Here is a 21,356-nt window from a genome sequence, read left to right on the forward strand (position 1 = left end):
CTTAATCTCTCTTTCTGTGAATGATGTCACCACCCCCTCATTTACTCAAATCAGAAACTCAACCTGAACTTCTTGTCCATCCCAGAAATCCCCTCAGCTACCAAACTGTGCACACTCTACCTCCTAAATGTTTCCTGGGTCTAGGCCCTTCCCTCCAACCTCAGCACCTTAGCCAGCTTCTTATCATGTCTCATCACAGAGCCCCTACCTGGACTCCTCCAGCCCCTGGGTAACCCCCACACTCCCCACACAGAGCGTCTCTAAAACACAGCCCAACCACACCACTCCTGTGCTGACAACCCTCCAAGGCGCTCTGTCACCCCTGGAATGCAGCCAGGCTTCTCTGCCTGGCACACAAGGCCCTTCTTTCCCCTCTTGTCATTCCCTCCTCATCTCCTTTCATGTTCCCAAACGCACCTTCTGCTCCCACCAAACTACTGGGGATTCCCTTTCCCAATTTTTCCCATGTCCTACTCCTACTTGGTCTTCAAAATTCAACCCAAGCTCTCTTTGGGAGCATTCCCTGAGCCCTCCAGGCCTCCTCCTGAGTGCTCCCATAGGTGCTCCTCCCCTACCTGTCTCCCCGTCCCCCAGTCGTGCATAGCTCTGCCATTGCTCTCATTCTTTCATCCAATAATTGGCTAGTCTGAATACTACAAATACAACAGCGAACAAGCCACAAAAGAAAAAAACCCCGCCTCCTTGGAGCTTTTACTCTCTGCACACTAGTTTTCCTGTCTTTTCCCCTTGAAGGTGAGAACCATCCTTTATATGCTTCTTAAGCACTTAGCATAGTGCCCAGCACATGGCCAGTGCTCAAAAATATAGATGAGTATGTGAAGGAAGGTCCCTGACTGTGTTCCTCCCATCCTTCATGCCATTCAACGAAAGGAATTAGAGAAATGCCTTCAACATGCTCAGGAAAAATAACTTCGATACATCACTCCATCCCTTCCCACATCCTTCTCCCAGCTTAATTTTATTTCCCTCGGAGCGGCACACGTTTAATGACTCGTGACTGTACATCCTTCTTTGAGGGTCTCCACTTGCCTCTGGAAAGAATAATACTGCCACAAGCAGAGTATTATACATGCTACTTGTTTGTTTTTAATTTTAACAATCAACGTATATAAGCACAAAGAATTATATTTCTAGGGCAAGACATACAAGTTATAAAACGTGGTGCCATGTAGCAGTGATATTAAGGGACCCAGAGGTTAGGGACAGGGGAGGAGAGCAGAAATGGAAGGTTAATTTTCTCATCTTGTAAAATGGAAGTTTCCAGATACTGCATTACATTTATGTGTCAATAACTAGAATCCTATATTTCAACCTCTATTGCTTTTCATTGTACAGCTTTTGGTACTGTTTGGATTTTTTTTTAATTAGAAAATTTTAGAAAACTCGTTGGAATAGAAAAATAATGAAGGGTGGTGAGGCACGGTGGCTCACGCCTGTAATCCCAGCACTTTGGGAGGCCAAGGTGGGTGGATTGCTTGAGCCCAAGAGTTCAAGACTAGCCTGGGCAACATAGTGAGACCTTGCCTCTATAAAAAAATTTATATATCTACATATATTGTATATATATATCACATATAATTTATATACATTTATTTATGTATGCATGTATTTTATATATATAAAATAATGAAGGAGAGATGACATATTTATTGTGGAAGAAAGGTGGCACAGTCACCAGGAGGTTCTTTGAAGAGTTCCTTCCTCTGGAGTCATGATGGGCACTGGGAGGTGTACGTGTCCAGTGTTGACTATAGCCAGTGGCCTCAGGGAGTGTGTCTGGTCCAGCTTTCAGCTGACAGCTTTCTCATCAGTGCTGGGTCACTGGCTGCAGCTGCAATTAATGCGCTCTCCTGACTAAGGGTACCATGGAACGTCCTCTGCCTTTGCCCCCCAGAGCCTTGGGAACAGATTCCTGGAAATTCTGAGCAAGGTGCTAGCAAGTCCATTGCAACCCACTCACCAGAAAGCCTTCCTCCACTGATGGGGGATGTACGGTGGCTGTCTTTGTCCCTCTGTGTCCCTTTTCTGATGATGTCATTCTCAGCCACCCTGTGGAGTTGTTGGAAAGAACACAGCCTCTGAAACCAGAGGACCAGGATGAGAGGGTGTTCAGGCCCTCCCTTGTTCAGGGACCTTGTGTCAGACACTCAGACTCTTTATGCTTCTGTTCTTGCCACCCTGCCCAAATGCACTGCTGTGGTTTGAATGCTCCCCTCAAAATTCACGTGGAAACTTAATCCCCAATGGGGCAGTATTGAGAGGTGAGGCCTTTAAGAGTTGATTGAATCATGAGGGCTCTGCCCTCAAAAGTGGATTAATCCATTCATGGATTAATGGTTAAAGGGTTATCACAGGAGGGGAACTGGTGGTTTTACAAGAAGAGGAAGAGAACCTCGCCATGCGATGCCTTGTGCTACCCCAGGACTCTGCAGAGAGTCCCCACCAGCAAGAAGGCTCTCACCAGATGTGACCCCTCAACCTGGAACTTCCTGGCCTCCATAACTAAAGGAAATACATTTCTTTCCTTATAAAATACCCAGTTTTAAGTATTCTGTTATAAGCAACAGAAAACAGACATGTACTTTCCCCATGTCTCCAGATCCTTATAATGATCAAAGAGAAGATATATGTAGAGTTCCTCTGTCAGCTCAAATATTATTACTAGCAGCATCTCTTTGAACTTTTGCTTATAAGATCTTCAATTCCAACTCCATCTCATGAGTCATGACATCAACTCTAAATATCTCATTTACTCTTCTGTTGAAGCATGCACTATGCAATGTGTGACACAGGTGAACGTGTACCTTATGGAATAACATGCCTAAGAGCTCTGGGGTGATTGGGCAAAGTCCTTGGTTATGTTCCCACCTGGAGAATCTATTTCACTCTAGGCAACTACTGGACAAATTCAGGCTACTGATTATGTAGGAGAGAGAGACAGAGACAGAGCTGGCTAGCCCTAATATGTCACCATCAAATTGTGTCCAGTGAGGGAATGTCTTACACTGTCGTCCCCATGGAAGTCTGTAGCCTGAGTACAGCTTTCACCTGTACAGCACTGATGTTTATGCCTGCTTCAAGAATGACTGTGTTTGGGTTGTTTTTTGTTTTTTGTTTTTTTTTTATTGCTCACACACAAATGAGAAGGAATTACTGTATTTTTGTGTAGGTGTTTGTGTTCACTTTGCTGGTTTTAGGAGAGACTTCAACATGGGGCCATTCTTCTCTGTATTCCTTAGGCTGCAAGTGTGTCATAGTAAGCTGAGGCTGAGCCTGAGGCTGGGAGAGAGTTAAGGTGTTTCCCATTCATGGGTTTGAGCAGAAGAGGAAAGATCTGAGAAGCGCTGACCGAGCCAGGAAGCTGCTTTCACCAGCCGATGAACAAGTGTCTGGTGATCATGCATCTGTGCTTGGACAGGATTCTTCTGGGAAGGCCTGTGAGTCAGGGCCCCTGGGAGTCCTCGGCTGGGGACTTCAAATGAGTCACTGTGCTTTCTGATGCCTGACAAATAAGTGGAAGATAATGCACTTGCCTTCAGTCTGGAAGACGTGTGACCCTTTGGGGAAGAGGGTCAGCAGCGGGGAATTGTGTCACCAACGTTTCTTTTTCTGACCCTTGGCCTTTCCTGCAGATCCACGTCAAACACCATAACTGAGCAGCTTGATGTCTCATTTTTGTGCTTATCTTGTTTTTCATCCTAATACTTTTTTCCTAAGTTGAATCATTCAGGGCTCTTGATGGCCTCTGAAATGAGTTGAATTTTCCTAGCCTGTCATTCAAATTCTGGCCCCTTCCTATTTTCCCATTGAGAATGCCCTGCTACTCCAACCAAATTCATCAGCTGGCCATTCCCTGAGTGCACCCAGACAGTTCCACCCTTGCTCACATTTCTCCTCTTGTCTGTGTCTTGTCTACACACCCCTTCTCTTTTTATGTAAACCTATTGAAATTCTGCTCTAGTCCCACATACTGGGTGGCAGTGGCCCCTTCCCCAACTACTCTAGCACCTGGCAACTCCTCTCAGCTCTGAGCCCTGCAGCCCTAGCTGCACCTCCAAACTTGGCACAGGCTCTCACCCGGCCACCTCTCCTTTATGTTGGGGATGTGTCTTGTACTTTGCTGTATTTCCAGAGCTTGTCAGGGGCTATAATATGTAATGGGTGCTCCATGATATTTGCTGTAGATAAGGATGAAACGATCTGCCGCCCTGAGCAATGCCCTGAATGCTTGTTCCTGGCGCCCTTGGCTTCTAGAAGAGCCTGCAGATGGAGTGGGGGAGGGATGCCGAAAGAAGAAACCCAGAGGGCAGCTCTGCTTATATATCTTCTGTACTGAGGTTTCAAGTAACATTAGCTTAAGAAAAAAGATTCTGTGCTGAAAATTTGAAAACTACTGGAAACTATTGTTATTGTTTCTACACCTAATTGATAAACTAGGGGAAATTCATACCCGACATTCAGTGGCACAGAGAACTCATCAGAAAAGGAAGGATACAGAACAAGTGTGGGCATTTTACATGGCACCAGGAAAAAAATACCTGTCCTGTAGAAAGGGGTTTCTTAAACAATGAACTTGCCAAGACCATCTAAATTCTAGAAGTTTGCATTTTGGGTCTCAAGAGGTCACAAGTGATTGAAGCTCCACAGTGAGTTCTACAAGGGGTTGGAGATCTGGCTCCTTTGTAAAATCCTTAGCAGGCCTTTGAGGGCCCCAGGGGACAGTGTAAAGCCCAGACTCATTGTTTGCTCCGGTAAAGCCTTGTTCGGATACAGGAGACAGAAGCCAATGCCAACTGGCTCAGTTAATAGGGGACTGGGGTTGGTGTGAGGTTATAGGTAAAGGAGACCTAGGACAGCAAGTCAGACTCAGCCAGGCCCAGGAAACCAGCACGGGAGAGTCACTCACATGGTTGGTTGCTCACTCCAGGCCCACTTCATCCCTGCTTCTGTCTGCCTGTCTCTGCTTGACATCTACCAGCCCAGAGTCCACAAGACCTCATGGCTCCAAAGCCTGCTGCTATCTGGATGGCCAGCCACAGATGGCCTGCCACTCAGATCACATTTGTGAGATGGAGGCTCAGGTTGACCAGGCACAGCCCCTGCTGGGTCCACTCCATGCCTAATCAGTGAGAGGAAGGGGTTACCACAGGATCAAGAAGCACCAACAGGGCTGGCTGCAGAGGGTGGACAAGTAGAGCCCAGGCTGCCAAGACAAGGGCAGTGTGGGTGGGGAAAGAGTGCCCAGCCTTGCATTGACCCCTTGCCTAGCACCCTCATGGACCCAGAGACATCTGGCCCTGCAATTTGTTGGGTTTTGGAGCACACACTCACTGTGTAAGCACAGTAATATTGCAGTGGATATTTTCATAGCCAGCTTCCACCAATGATTGTAAGTTCTTGCTTCCTCCTAGGGCTGCAGTCTAGTTTCTCCCTCACAGTGTGGATCTTACAGCTTAGGGTGGAATCTGGTTGGCCAATTTTTCAGCTTTGACAACATGGAAAGTCAGAAAATAGACTTTCATAAACAGTGTGGTTGCCTCTTACATAAAAGGTAGTGTCTAAAGTCAGCACACACAGGGAAATACATGGAATCAAAATGTCTCCTGAGAATCCTTTGAATCACCCATAAAGAATGGGACGCATACATCTCTCAGGAAGCCTAATATAGCCATTTTCTTCTAGCACTAGACAGACCATGTGTTTTTGGCTGACAACCAAGCAATGTGGTTGGTTTGCATTCAGGATCATGTTTAATGAAAAATCTTTAGATCCCTTCTCAGGTATTTAAAAGAAAAAAAAAAAAGCTATGTGCCAAAGAGGCCCATGGTAACCTAGAACCTCAGGGAAATGCAGGTTCTCTCTGAGGCATCTTCTCATGGGAATGTGAGGGGGGATGCTTTCAACATTAAATCGCCTCCCTGCCTTCCTTCTTTCCTCCCTCCCTCCATTTTTCCTTCCTTCCTTCCTTCTTTCCTTCCTTCCTTCCTTCCTTCCTTCCTTCCTTCCTTCTTTCCTTTCTTCCTTCCTTCCTTCCTTCCTTCTTTCCTTTCTTCCTTCCTTCCTTCCTTTCCTTCCTTCTCCCTTCCTTTCTCTCTGGGAAGGATATATTGTTAAATTGCCTTAGGTTAGCTGTACATGGGATGTCACCATAAGAGGACAGCACCCCTGTCTGTCCCTCTCCCCTTCTCGCACATGGGGATGAGATACTCTCTCAGGCAGGGACTGTCCTGTGGTCTGCAGTGCCTCTCCCTATACCTTCCCCAGCCCCCGGCACCACATATCCTAGCCCCCTGCATGCGCTACATCCTGCTGTAATGACCCCTGATTAACGAGTTGATTCTAACCCTGCTGTGCCCAGTTCCTCTACCTGAGAAGTGAGCTTTAACAAAGAAGGAGACAGGCTGCATAAAATTAAAACACCTGATTTTGAACAATTAGCTAGATATGGAAGGCTAATCTTTCAGATCATCTTTCTAAAAATGAAAAAATGGACTAGATCTCTGGTCCTTAAACTTGGCCATCCATCAGAATCACCTGCAGAGCACAGATTCTGGTTCAGTAGCTCTGGGGCAGGTCAAGAATCTGCATGTCTGACACTACCGCCTCTGCTGCCGACACTACCGCTTCTGCTGCCGTCACCACTGCCAGGTCTGCCCCACTCAATGCTGGTGCTACCGGTCAGCCAGAACCACACTGCATATCCCTGGAAAGGGTGCTTGGTTGGAAGGCCTTTGTGAGAGAAACAGCCTTAGTGTCCCTCGTGCATAAACTGAGGATAATAGTTGTCTGCTCGTGTTATGTAGATTTGTTGCGAGCACTAAATGACTTAATATTTGTAGTGTTTAGAACTGTGTCTGATACAAAGTAATGGCCATACAAGTGTTTTTAAGTAACAGTAATTTTTAGAGTCCCATGCCTATTATCCACAAGTAAACTCTAGTCTTATACCTCTAGAACAAATGAAATCAACTTCCTTAGATACAGCTGAAATCCTGGCCTGAGTTCAGCTGAAAGCCTGGGCTTAGATGGCTGGAAAACAAAATAAGAAGTGTGAATGTTCCTCATAACTTTTCCCAGCCCTGGAGCACAGATAACCTACAAGATCTGGACTGAATCTGCTGTTTCAGGCAGCATGATGCCCTGGGCTGGGCTGGAAGAGACAGGAACAGGCACAGGCCTTCCGTGGCTGCTGCCTTGGCCACTGATGGCACAATTATCATTCCCCACAACAGGGCCCAGCTAGCCTCAGATCACCTCCCAGAGGCACCTCTGCTGAACTCTCCATGACATGTTGGTCCCACCAGTTTCTATCAATCACATCCGCATGCTGTTTCATCACAATAGTAACCACTGTTTAAAATGACCTGATTTATGTGTATCTGTTTATTTATTATGCCTTCTCCACTAGAATGTAAGCATTTATGTCTCATCCTCTACTACACCCCAGCACCTAGCACAATGCTGACACATAGTAGAATGCTCAGTAAATATGTGTTGAATGTATGAACCACAAGTGTCAAAGGGTATGAAATTGAAGGGGAAAATATCATATATTCTTTTCATTTTGCCTGTCATCACCTTTCTCTCTCTTACTACTGTGAGTTGAAAGCTGCTTTCTAAGAGCCAGTAGTGTGAAGCAGACTACTAGCAGACTGAAAGCAGACAGTCCTGTGCTGGAACTGCTAACCATGGGAGAAGGGACCCTCCCAACTTTACTTGGAAGGCTCTCAGTCTTGCCTGACTGCTGGTCGATGGGACGTTTGTCTTAAAGTATCAGCAAAGTACAAAGGCACTGGCTGGTGCCTGGATGAGCTTTATTCTCAGAAATATTCACATACTCTAAATGGGAGATGTCAAACCCATGCCAATAGCTCCATTAAAACCCAGGCTTCCCACCAAGAGCAACTGGCATGGTTTTCTATTTGCTTCTCTTGACCATCAGTGATAAAATTTACTATTTTATATAGAGAGACAGAACATGTGTTGGGCATCTCAGTAGTTCAAACCAAAGACAGAAAAACACCTCTTACATGTATGTAATAGATTTTTTTAAATATACAGTTTTCCTTTTTTTAATTAATTCATTTATTTATTATAGAGATGGAGTCTCACTGTGTTGGCCAGGGTGGTCTTGAACTCCTGGCCTCAAGCAATCCTTCCACCTCAGCCTCCCAAAGTGCTGGGATTACAGGTGTGAGCTACCACACCTGGCAGTAATAGATGAATTTACTTGTACAACAAACACAAATTTTTGTGTTGTGCGGTTTCTCACTAGGGCCACGGTCGGCCTCTGGGCAGAGATACTATTATGTGGTGTGGGATTTTCCCACATGGTAGGACATTTAGCATCCCCCGTCCCTGGGGAACTAAATGCCAGTAGCCCCCAGGAGAATTTGTGACATCCAGAAAATGCCCCCAGGCATTTCCAAACACCTTCTGATGGGTGAGACTGCCCATTTGAGAATCACTAGGCAGGGAAAAGTAAATTCCTTCATTTTACTTCAAATGGGGTGTGTTAGCATCATCTTGCTTGAGCAGCTTTAAAAAAATAGTTTCTAATTACGTACATAACACATTCTCTTTGCAAACAAATCCTATAGATAAAGCTGAAGTCTCCTTTGACGCCCACTTCCAGTTCTAGTCACTCCCCGCTTCTCTGAGGAAGTGAGAGTAACTGACATGGTTTCTACCTTCAAGACCCTTTGCTTTATGTTTATATACAGATGTAGGAACCTGCATACAAGTATAACGGAGTGTTGTTGGTGTGTGTTTGTGCTGTGTATTTCATCTGCAACTTGAATTTTTTACTCCACAATACCTGTTGAAGGTCTTTCCATGTCCAAACACGTAGAAATGCCTCATCCTACAGCCGAGTAATATGTAATGACTGCACAGCATTTTATCATGTTGATGGGCCTCTTAGCAAAGAGCTGCAAAGGAAATCAATTCCCTGGATGAGGCGTTGCCTGTGGTCTGGTCACAGGACCAAATTAGACAAAAGCTGAGGTCATTTTGAATCATCCCCTCCAACCCTGCCGCAGTCCACAGAACAAAGCAGTGGCCTGACTTGAATTTGAACATAGTATCTCTAAGCCTGGGTATTCTGGCATTGTGTAAACACAGATCTCTGAGCCTACTGCACTGAAATGGATTCATTTCCTTTTTTAGCTTCTGGCATGGCATTTTTAGTTGATAAATTGTGGTTCTAAGGAAGCAGGTTTGATGATCCCCTTTGTCCTTCAACCAAGTGTGTAAAGGAGGATGTTTACTTTTATGGGTAATTACAGGTCTATGAATTGAGCACTTAATATGAGGCACCTTCATCCCTTATCTCAAGTCCTCACAACAGTCCTTTGCAGGAGGTATTACTAGCTCATTTTTGCAGGGAAGAAAACTGAGACTTGCGGAGATTACATAATTTGTCTAAGGCAAATCAGTTAGTAAGTGACACAAACCCAGGGCTTACTCTCAGATAATAATTATCACTAATTTATTTATTTATTCAACAATATTCATTGAATGTCTATCATGTGCTGGAAATGGTACCCAGCACTAAGAATACATCAGTAAACAAGGTAGTAAACAAAGCCAACAAGCATATGAAAAAATGTTCAACATCACCAATCATTAGATAAATGCAAATAACCACAGTGAGATACCACCTTGCACCATCAGACTGGCTATTATTAAAAAGTCTAAAAATAACAGATGCTGGTGAGGTTGCAGAGAAAAGGGAACACTTATACACTGCTGGTGGGAGTGTAAACTAGTTCATCTGCTGTGGAAAGCAGTTTGGTGATTTCCCAGAGAACTTAAAACAGAACTGCCACTCCACCCAGCAATCCTATTACTATACTCAAAAAAAATACCCAAAGGAATATAAATCGTTCTGCTGTAAAGACACATGGATGCATGTTTATCGCAGCACCATTCACAATAGCAAAGACATGAATCAACCTAAATGCCCACCAGTGGTGGACCGGATAAAGAAAATGTGGTACATAGACACCATGGAATACTATGCAGCCATAAAAAGAATGAGATCATGCCCTCTGCAGTAACATGGATAGAGCTGGAGGCCATTATCCTAAGCGAATTCATGCAGGAACAGAAAAACAAATGCTGCATTTTCTCACTTAGAAGTGGGAGCTAAACATTGAGTACACATGGACACAAAGAGGAGAACAATAGACAACAGGGTCTACTTGACAGTGGAGGGTAGGAGAAGGGTGAGGGTCAAAAAACTTCCTATCAGGTACTATGCTTGTTACTTGGGTGATGAAATAATCTACACGCCAAACCCCTGTGACATGCAATTTGCCTATGTAACAAATCTGCACATTGTACCCCCTGAACCGAAAAAGAAAGTTGGAAAGTTGGAAGAAAAAGAAAATAAAACAAAGATGAGATCTTTGCCCTTCTAGATTCTAGACCTGACATTCTAGTGGGGGACAGAATAGGTAAACAAACAATCTTTTAGGGAACATTAAGTACTATGAATGAACATCTTTTAGGGAACATTAAGTACTATGAATGACCATAAAGCATAATAAAGGGACAATGAGTTGCAGAAGGGCCTTTTTAGAAAGGGTGTTGGATAAGACCTCCCTGGAGTTGTGACATTCAAGCAGAGACCTGAATGAAGCAAGAGAGTGGGCCATGCCAAATCTCAAGTGAACCAGTGTTGCAGGCAGAGATCAGTAGGTGCAAAGGCTCTAAGGCAGGATATTCTGGATATGTTCAGGAAACATAAAAAGGCTGACAAGGTCATATTGGAGTCACCAAGGCAGAGAGAGATAGGAGGTAAGATCAGAGAGGAAGCCAGACCCAGTTCACTTGAACTGTTCTAGGCCTAACATGCCACTCCACCAGCAACTCCACGGGTTGATTCTGAATGTGATAGGAAGCCTTTGGAGCATTTTGAACAGAAGAGTAGTATGATCTTGTTTAAGTTTTTAGAGAATCATCCTGGCTCCTATGTGGAGAAATGTTGGTAGGTGGGGAAGAGTAGATTTAAGGACACAAAGTAGGAGACTACTATAAAAATCCAGGGAAGAGGTCATAGATTGGCCCAGAGCAGTAAGCTGTGGAGAAGGTAAGATGGTAAGAAGTGGTTGAATTTGTGTGTGTTTCGAAGGTAGAGCTGATAAAGCTTTTTGATGAATTGAATAACTTTTAAAGAAGAAAAGCAGTTAAGGATGATTCCAACCTTTTTACCTGGGCGTCTCACTGGAGGTGGTGCCATTTACTGAAATTAGAAAGCCTGGCGTGGAGTGGCGAGTGGGGACCAAATTCGAGGAGGAGTGGGGAATCAAGAATTCTATTTTTGACATGTTACAATTGTGAGGCCTGTTAGACCTGCAGATAGAAGTGTTGAATCAGCAAATGAATTCATCAAGAAAAGAGTCCGGGCTAGAGATACTAATTTGGGAGTTGTTGACGTCTTGATGATCTTTACAGGTGTGGGATTTAATGAGCTTAATGGGAATTAAGTAAAACTATTTTGCTTATTACTTATTATGGGTAGGTCACAGCACTTTGTGCTTGGAGTATACCAGCAAGCAAGGCAGACACAGTGATTATTCTAAGTGGTTTGCTCCGAGCCCTGCATGCCACCAGGAATGGTCTTGACTTTTGTTATTGTTAAACTTATTAAATGTTGGAGTGGACGCAAACTTAGAGATGACCAAGTACAAATTCCAAAACCTCTCTCAAATTTACAACTGAGGAAACTGAGGCATGGAGAAGTTAAGTAATTTGTTAAAACCTAGTGTTTAAAAACCATGTATACTTTAGAGTTTTCAATAATATTCAGTCCAAAGCGTTCATATTCTTCCTTTTTATTTGTATTTTTCTTATAGTCTAAGAAAGGAAGTTAAGTTGAGGGGATAGTAAAAAAGATAATTAGAGACTTTGCCTAAAAGACCTATGAGAGATTCAATTGAATTCAATAACTAATTATTGAATGCCTATTGTGCTAGAAACTATGGGTATAAAGACGACTAAGAAGACAATTCCTACAAGGGGAGAAAATTTTGCAAATCACATTTCTGAAAAGAGACTTGTATTTAGAATATATAAAAACTCTTCAACTCAATAATAAAAAAGACAGATAACTCAAGTGAAAAATTGGCAAAAGATCTAAATAGACATTTCTCCAAAGAAAATATACAAGTGGTTGGCCGGGCGTGGTGGCTCACGCCTGTAATCCCAGCACTTTGGGAGGCCGAGGCAGGCGGATCACGAGGTCAGCAGATCAAGACCATCCTGGCTGACATGGTGAAACCCCATCTCTACTAAAAATACAAAAAATTAGCCGGGTGTGGTGGCGGGCACCTGTGGTCCCAGCTACTTGGGAGGCTGAGGCAGGAGAATGACATGAACCCAGGAGGTGGAGGTTGCAGTGAGCTAAGATTGCGCAACTGCACTCCAGCCTGGGCGACAGAGCAAGACTCTGTCTCCAAAAAAGAAAAGAAAAGAAAAGGAAAGGAAAAAAGAAAAGAAAAGAAAGAAGGAAAGAAAGAAAGAAAGAAAGAAAGAAAGAAAGAAAGAAAGAGAAAGAAGAAAGAAAGAAAGAAAGAGAAAGATAGACAAGTGGTTAATAAGCGCATGAAAAGATGTTCAAATAATTAACCATCAGGGAAATACAAATTAAAACCACAGTAAGATACCACTTCACATCCTCTATGATGGCTATAATAAAAAAAGACAGACAGTAGCAAGTGCTGGTGAAGATGTGGAGAAATCAGAGCCCTTCTACATTGCTGGTGGGACTGTAAAACAGTACAGCTGCTTGGGAAACAGTTTGGCAGTTTCCTAGAATGTTAAACATAAAGTTATCACATGACTCAGCAATTCCACTCCTAGGTATATACCCAAGATAAATTAAAACATATGTCTACACAAAAACTTGTATACAATACACATGACTGTATACAAATGCTGTTCATACCAGCATTATTCATAATAGCCAAAAAAGTAGAAATAAACCGAACGTCCATCAACTGATAAATGGGTAAACAAAATGTGGTGTAGCCACACCATAGATGGTATCCATATATACAATGGAATATTATTCAGGAGAATTGCCTGGGAAGCAAGTTCAGGGTGAGAATGGAGAGCCAAGGGCAGAATCCTGTGAAGCACCAATACTGAAAAGACAAGTAGCAAAGGAAGGTCTGTGAAGAAAACAGATGGTCAGGAGTAGAAGATTAAGAGAAAGAAGAGTTAATATTATGGAAACCAAGGGAAAGTCTTCCAAGAAGGAACTGCATAGCAGAGGCAAATGCTAGAGTGATGTCATCAGTGAAAACCAAGACACAGCCACCAAACACAGTGGACATCCATGACTGCAATCTGAACACACCAGCTGTGAAGACATTGCCAGAATAATTGAGGAAATAGGAATGTGGAATGTGTGTATAAGATGATACGACAGATTTGTTGTTAATTTTCTTGGTTTGATATGATACTATGGGTGTGTAGGAAGATGTTCACTTTTTTAAAAAAAAGCATACTGAATTATTTCAGGGTGAAACGTTAGAATGTCTATAATGAACAATAATTTAGCAGATAAAATGGATGAAACAAGGCAAAATAGTAACAATGGGGCCGGGTACGGTGGCTCACGCCTGTAATCCCAGCACTTTGAGAGGCCAAGGCAGGTGGATCACGAGTTCAGGAGATCGAGACTATCCTGGCCAACATGGTGAAACCCTGTGTCTACTAAAAATACAAAAATTGGCCAGGCGTGGTGGTGCGTGCCTATAGTCCCGGCTACTCAGGAGGCTGAGGCAGGAGAATCGCTTGAACCCGGGAGGCAGAGGTTGCAGTGAGCCAAGGTCACGCCACTGCACTCCAGCCTGGCAAGATGGAAGATACCAGGCAAGCTGGGACCAACACAGAAAATGGACCAATATCTTGAGCAATCTCAACAGAGCCAGTGAGACTCTGTCTCAAAAAAAAAAAAAAAAAAAGTAACAATGGTTAAATCTAAGCAACAAGTATATACGTTTATTAATTATACTATTCTCTCTAGTTTTTTGTCCATTTGAAAACTTTGGAAAATCTGAAGCAATCAACCACACAAACAAAACCTGTAAAGAAGCCACTGGATTAGGCAGTTAGGAGAACCCTGGTGACACTTGAGAACATAGCTGCGGTTGAGAAGCGGGTGCCACACCCAGATTGTAGGGGATTTGAGGTGAGGCTGGAGAGTGGACACAAACCCTCGTGCAAGAAGTTTAGCCCGAAATAAAAAAACTAGAGAGGGCAATAAGGTCCCATGATCTTTTTTTTTTTTTTTTTTTTTTAATGCACAGATCTGGGTTTGTGTACAGGCAGTGGGAAGAAGCCACTAAGAAGCTAAAGATGGAAGGTGTTGCTGAGAGAAATAATGATTCAGGGAGGGAGAGAAGAAAAATTATGAACAAGAGCTGAGGAAGGGGAGAGGACAGGTCTTTTAAGCTAGGGGTGGAAGGGGATTATTTGATGTGAAGAAAACTGAATGAGCACGAACAAACCTGCAATGTCAATATATGGAGCTGTGTTCCATCTCCATTGAGATCAAATGTCTGCAAGTCTATATGTTTATGACACTGAATATATCATCAGAAACAAAGCTGCAAAGTATTTCCCATCAGTTTCATACATTTTGGGCATTGCATACTGTATTGTCAGGATTGATCCAAGAGAACAGCAGCCATGTGGCTTGCTGGATCGGAGGAAGTTTAGGGCAAGGAAGTGAATGAATGGCAACAGGAAAGCCATCTGGGGTAAAAGTGGTAATCCTTCCCCACTCAGGGAAAAGATGGGTGATTCACAGCAACCAAGACCACGGGAGTATTGGTTAAACCAACACTCCAGTTTACTCTTATGAACCACCTCAGAATCCCTTGGGGTTTCCATTCAAGGGAGCAGGACAGTAGTATCATTTGGGGACTTCCAAGCATGGTGTTAGGTCATGAGAGCCAGGGAGGTGGGGATTGTCAACAAGCAGATACAAGGACCCTTGGAGGTTGGGGGAGGAGAAGGACTCTGAGCAAATGGGATCAAACAGGTAGAATGTTTCTCCCACAAATTCTCAAAGAGGGTGACTAAGGCTATCACAGCATATATAGTCTTCCCATCCACACAGGAGCTTTGTTTCCTGATCTATACCAGCAGAGGTACAGATCAATCCAGGATAATTATCCTCAGCCCCTGTTGGTTGAAGATACCAGGCAAGCTGGGACCGACACAGAAAATGGACCAATATCTTGAGCAATCTTAACAGAGCCAGGACCAGGCATGGATCAAAGTACAACTCTCCTTCTGGATAAAGAAATATCCACAAAAATCTGCTTCGAACATCATATCATCTTGAGACAGTTCCATGGCTCAGATTCGTGTTGTTTTCTCCTTTGTCTTTGTGCCCCAGAGACGTGTTCCATTTTGTAAATGACACGGATGAGGACACCATTCTCTTGTCAGTGATTCTCAAACTTTTTCACCCAAGGGCCTCTAACAGTAGAAGAGAGAAAACATTGATGCTGGGAATTTTGAGGGACTTGCATCTAATCAATATGTCCAAAGCACAAAATCGATTCCATGTCTCCTGGTTACCTTAGGAACCCAGGTGTACTTTGTATTCTAGTAACAGCAGGACAGGAGACCTCCAACTGTGGTCCACTTTGGCTATGTTTTAGTTGGCTGCTGTTTTCTGTTGCTGCTGTAGTAAGTCACCGAAAACTTGGTGGCTTAACACACACAGTTATCTTACAGTTCCATAGGTCAGAAGTCCATCATGGGTCCCACTGGGCTAAAATCAAAGTGTCTACAGCTCTGTGTTTCCTTCTGGAGGCTTAGGGGAGAATCCCTTTCCCTACCCTTCCCAGCTTCTAGAGACGGTCCTGATTCCTTGGCTCATGGCTTCCTTCCTCCATCTTCTTCTTCTATTTATTTATTTATTTTGAGACATGGTCTTGCTCTGTCACCCAGATTGGAGTGCAGTGGAACAATCACAACTCACTACAGCCTCAACCTCCAAGGCTGAAATGATCCTCTTGCCTCAGCCTCCTGAATAACTGGGACCACAGGCACATGCCACCACACCTGGCTAATTTTTTGTTTTTATTTTTTGTAGATGTGGGGTCTCACTGTGTTTCCCAGGCTGATCTCAAACTCCTGGGCTCAAGTGATCCTCCTGCCTTGGCCTCCAAAAGTGCTGAGATTACAGGCTTGAGCCACTGCACCCAGCTCTTCCATCTTCAAAGCCAGCATTGTGCATTTCTCTGACCTTTCTTCATAGTCATGTCTCTCTCTCACTAACTACAATTGGGAAAGGTCCTCTGCTTTTAAGGACTCAAGATTATATTATGCTTATTCAGATCTTGCAGGATAATTTCCCCACCTCAAGGTCCATAATCTTAATCACATCTGCAAAGCCTCTCTTGCCATGGAAGGTAACATATTCACATGATCTTGGAATTAGGACCTGGACATCTTTGGGGGTCCATTATTCTGTCTATCACAGCTGCTATTGCAAGAAGTCCTGCTGTTAATCCTAGGGAAGAAATTAAGGAAATTCTCATCTTCCTGAGAGGGGAGGCAGGCCTATGGTATTTCCAGACACTTCTTGTCATCTAGAGATCTAAGCTTAACTGTATATTGCTAAGAGTCATCAACCTCTCTCACACGAACTACCAAGAACTTTTGCAAAAGAAGCTGGAGAAGACTTTGTGTTGGGATAAGTTGGAAAAATGGGGCACCCACTCCAGATAGATGTATGGCTTAGGAAGAAGCTCTAGTGGTTTCTGTGGGAAAGGGAGGCACAGTGTTCCCAGATGGCAGAACTTTTTTTTTTTTTAATGGCTTTGGGAGGGTTGGTAAAGGTCAGTCCTGTGACACAGATATGGAGGAGCAACCACAGGGCTACCCTTGGCTATGGCTGCAAGGGCCTGGACAGCTGATGTTGGACTACATGCTGGGAACAGGTGAGCTCTGGCCCATGGTGGTGTATACATGGGGGCATGAAGAAATGAGGGCTTCTGCTCGGCCTGCAGCTCATTCTCTCCTAGACTTTTCTTTTCTCAACCCATCTATTTGCATGTGAGATTCATAGTGCTTCTGCTAATTCAACTTTGACCCTATTTTATGTAAACTAATTATCCTGGCCTTACTATGCAAGGACAGTATTCTCCCATCTCTTTCCTGGGTTCCATCTCTTAGCTTCCCTGTGTTGGCATATTACTTCTCCCTGAGCTCAGAAAGGCTGCTTATGGTTGTGGTGCATGGGTGTGTGTGTGGGTGTGTCTTGGGGTGGGAGGTGGGAGGCTGGTAGTGCTTAACCTACGATAGGTTCCAATGCTAGTTTCCTTCCCATCCCTCCCTTGCCCATTCTAACAGCTTAGTTTTCCCCCAGGCCCTCACCCACCAAATCATTGTGACAACTGAAGACACCCCCATGGATTTCCCAAAGACCTCCCGGGGGACAAGGCCACCCCCACTGAGAATGTCTGCTCAGAAGGGTATGAGTGGAAGGCAATGTCTGTTCCCGGCAGGGCTTCGGGGGCAGTTTCTGGCTTACAGAGGCTGAAGAAATTTCCTGGAATAATACCTACTGGGCTCCACTGCTCTAAATAGTGGCTGTGATTTCTTACCAGTTAAAGCAATCACCTCTCTCTGAAGCTCCTGTTGTTTAACCTTTGGCCATGATATATCCAAGGTGGGGCTCACCTCAGAGAGTCTCCACCCTGGCTGCACGTTGAAATCACAGGGTACCTTTAAAAAATACTGATACCCAGGTGTCACCCCAGACAGTCTGATTAAACAGGCCTGGTCCTCTAGCTATTTTAACACTCCTGGTGATTAGCCAGAGCTGATAACCTGTTATTAGGGGATTTTCTCTGTGAATAACCTTGACGCTGGAGTGAGGAAGGGCTTAGCAGCATTGAAATAAACGCTTCCCATTGGCTGGAGAAATTTCCTCGTGAGCCACTCCTCCTTTAATTTATCCCACCCTTTCTCCTTTCCTCCCTTCTACCCATTTTTGTTATAATTATTTAGAATTAATCATACAGTTCCCTTTCATTCATCCAAGCTATTACTCTGTTGCAACAAAGGTCAGGATGAAAAGGGCAGCGCGGTTGGCAGCTCCATATTTTTACTTCCTCTTGGTGTAAAGTTTTACTGAATAAAGGGAGTGCTACAGTGAGACGCTCAGACGAGGGGTAAATAGGAAATGAGCCAGTGCCCAGCTGGGCTCAGCCTGGTCCACTCCACATTGCCAGCCATCAGACTTTCTAGAAAACACAGGCTGAAGGCACCCCTGCTGCCTCTCAAACTCTCCGAGGTTTTTTGTTTTGTTTTGTGTGTGTGTGTGTGTGTGTGTGTGTGTGTGTGGTGCAATGCTCACACATGAAGAAGGCCAAACCTCAAGCTTTCTTCACGTACCTGTACATTTCAGTCTCTGAAAGAAAGCACTGTCTACTACGAATGTTTTATTCTGCCATCTGCCTGGTGGAAATTACTGAGGGAAACAGCTGGTTCAGCACTTCCGCCACTAGCTTTTATAAAGGAAGAACCAAAGAACTGTTCCTCATCAGTTGTGAAGCCTAGGTTTCAGAATGCACTGCTTTTATATTCTCATGAAAATTACCAAAGCATATTCAAGTTAGTTGTCACTGTTTCAAACGCCACACAGTTGATGAGTTACATATGCGTGGGCTGCATGGCATTTCTGCAGTCATGGGAATTGTAGTTGTGCATCTTAGACTCTATGCTCCTAGTGTTAGGGTTACAGACAAAATGTGAGTAGAGAAATTGTCTCTACTTTCAAAGGTGGTGGGGTGATGTGCTTCTTGGTTTAAAAAATTAAAAGTATAATTTGTGGCCAGAGGAGCAATAGTTTATGGCTCATTTGAACCTGATCTGAATTCATTAAGACAGTCTTGACTTGACTGGACAAGACATAATTTGATCTGAGTATATATAGAGCCATAGAGGCATGTACACATATATTTCTATAATATATAGTCTCTTAGCATATGTTTAACCTAAGGAAGGACCACGCTGTGTAAAATACATTATACACGGGCCTGTTTGGTTTCAGACTCCTTCCTCACCCTTCACCTACTCTGCTCTTTGTCTTACCAGTGCCCACTTTTGCAAACAGATTTCTCTGGCTGCCAGGTCACCTAGGCTCCGGCTGGGCTCAGCCAATGAGAAACACTGGAAGGCAGGAGGAAGGAAAAGACCAGGGTTTCTCTCCCTAAGCCTCTCAGATGTGGATGGTGCGTCTGACAGTAGCAGAGGCCTGGCTCCAGTTCCTGCCAGAAAGGCTGCCATGGTTGTGGCTGTTCTCAGTGACCCTAGTCCCTGGACATTGGTAACACCATCTCCTCCAATGGTTCCTTCAGTCCAGGATTGGGAGTGACTTCCTGCTGTCACTATTCTTAGCTTCTCAGATTCTCTGTCACCTGTGTAACCAAGTCTCTATATTATATTCCTTCTGTTATAAATACATGTAATGGTTTCTCTTGTTCTGATTAGACCCTGACTGATACATATGTCATGGTTAAAACACATTTTCCTTTAACATAGATTACCCATTAGTAGATTATTTAATTACAGTTGTGGTTGCCAATCTATTATTATTTGTAATTATTTGTTTGAAGGGTAGTTCTTAATCTATTGAAGTTATTTGTATTTGCCCATAACATTTTAAAATGCTTAAATATCATAAATGCTTGTGAATTCCACCATCTTGAGCTTCAAAGGAGTGGCCTAATTTTACTATATATGGTCATATGGTAAATGTAATGGAAATGATAAATCATAAGCCCGTGAATAATTGTTATTCATAATGGAACTGCTACTGTATTTTGTAGAAATAGCCCACATCTATTCTTGAGCTAATATACATGCTGATTTCCAGCAATAGTGCCATGGAGGAATTATCCAGTAGTAGTTACAGTAAAAGAAATGCTCATAATAGCTTTGGAACTTGGAAGTAATTATATCTTCCTCTTTAAGTGATTTATTTTTATCATTACTTGCAGTGTCTTTCCTGAACCTTAGCCTAAAATCCTCTCTCCTGCTGACTGCAAATTTAGATCCTTCCAGGAGGGGAATGCATTAGTAGAATATCGTCAAAGGGCCCTCAACTAAAGCAAGTCAATGTGGCTACCATTTCCTTTCTTCCCTCCTTTTCTCGTCTTACTCAAGCTTAAAGGACTGTACAAGTGTAAGTAAAGCACATAAACGAGCTAGGATTTCAAACATGGAACCTGGCACTGTATCTGTCAAGAGCCAATGAGTATCTGATTCAAGATGGCAGATAAGCACACTTGATTTATCCTCACCAAGACCCCACTAAAATGATAGTAATGGCATTTAAAAAGTGATAATCACCATAGTAATGGTAAAGGGACTCCCGGCAGAGAAGCAATTTTACAGAATTTCTGGAGGGTAAACAGTGGATGGAGAAGTGGAGGTAGAAGAAAGATAAAGGAAGCCAAACCTATATTACAAGAGTAAGGGTGGGGGAGGCTAGAACTGAGGAGGAAATCTTTGCAATGCAAAATCTAAGAGACTAGGCAACTCATAAACATCAGCTGAGAGAGTGATGGGGCTGAAATCACCATGATTCATGAAATACCCCAAAGGAGCACTTAGCCTTTCACCCCACTTGGCAGCCAGACAGGCCCTCCTCTACCTTTTCTCCCTCACTCCACTAAAAATCTGACAGACTTGCTCTTCTCTCTAAAAATGAGGTGGCCCCAAAAATGAAACTCCTGATATCCTGACATTTAGGAATTCCCTAGCTAAATAGCTGAGTCCCTACCAAGTAATTATAATGCAAGTAATAGAAGCAGCAAATAGTTATAAAACACTGCAATTAGTACATTATATATTAATTCATTTAATATTCACAACTCTAGGAAGAAACTAAAGCACAGAGTGCTGTTTGAGATCATGCAGCAGTTAACCGCTAAATCACCACAAGGTTAAATCACCACTAGTAAGCTCATTCCAGGTGCAAAAAACAAGCAAACAAACAAACAAAAAACCCCAAAGCCAATTAGCACCTTATTGTCTCATTCTGAATTAAAGACAACTGAGGATGATCAGATACTTGAAGAAAGAATACAACACGATACAAAAATTAGCTGGGTGTAGTGGTGCAGATCTGTAATCCCAGCAACTTGAGAGGCTGAGGCACAAGAATCACTTGAACCTGGGAGGCAGAGGTTGAAGTGAGCTGAGATCATGCCACTGCACTCCAGCCTGGGCAACAGAGTGAGACTCTGTCTCAAAAAAATAAATAAAAATACATCACGAAAGACAGATAAAAA

The 21,356-nt window shown here is 43.5% G+C and overlaps 1 protein-coding gene across 5 annotated transcripts in view, besides 1 other annotated feature; it reads left to right on the forward strand.

The window, feature by feature from the left end:
* The window catches only part of ZBTB38 (zinc finger and BTB domain containing 38), a 125,607-nt gene that overhangs the window by 4,229 nt on the left and 100,022 nt on the right, over positions 1-21,356 (forward strand). The gene's annotated exons all lie outside the window — the stretch shown is intronic.
* Positions 8,917-8,996: an enhancer, noted in NCBI's record as "active region_20623". NCBI's record gives its function as "activates an Ori minimal core promoter by ATAC-STARR-seq in GM12878 lymphoblastoid cells {active_cell/tissue: GM12878}" and the evidence as "EXISTENCE:reporter gene assay evidence [ECO:0000049][PMID:35858748]".

Source organism: Homo sapiens, chromosome 3, assembly GCF_000001405.40.
Source record: "Homo sapiens chromosome 3, GRCh38.p14 Primary Assembly".
Taxonomy (NCBI): Eukaryota; Metazoa; Chordata; class Mammalia; order Primates; family Hominidae; genus Homo; species Homo sapiens.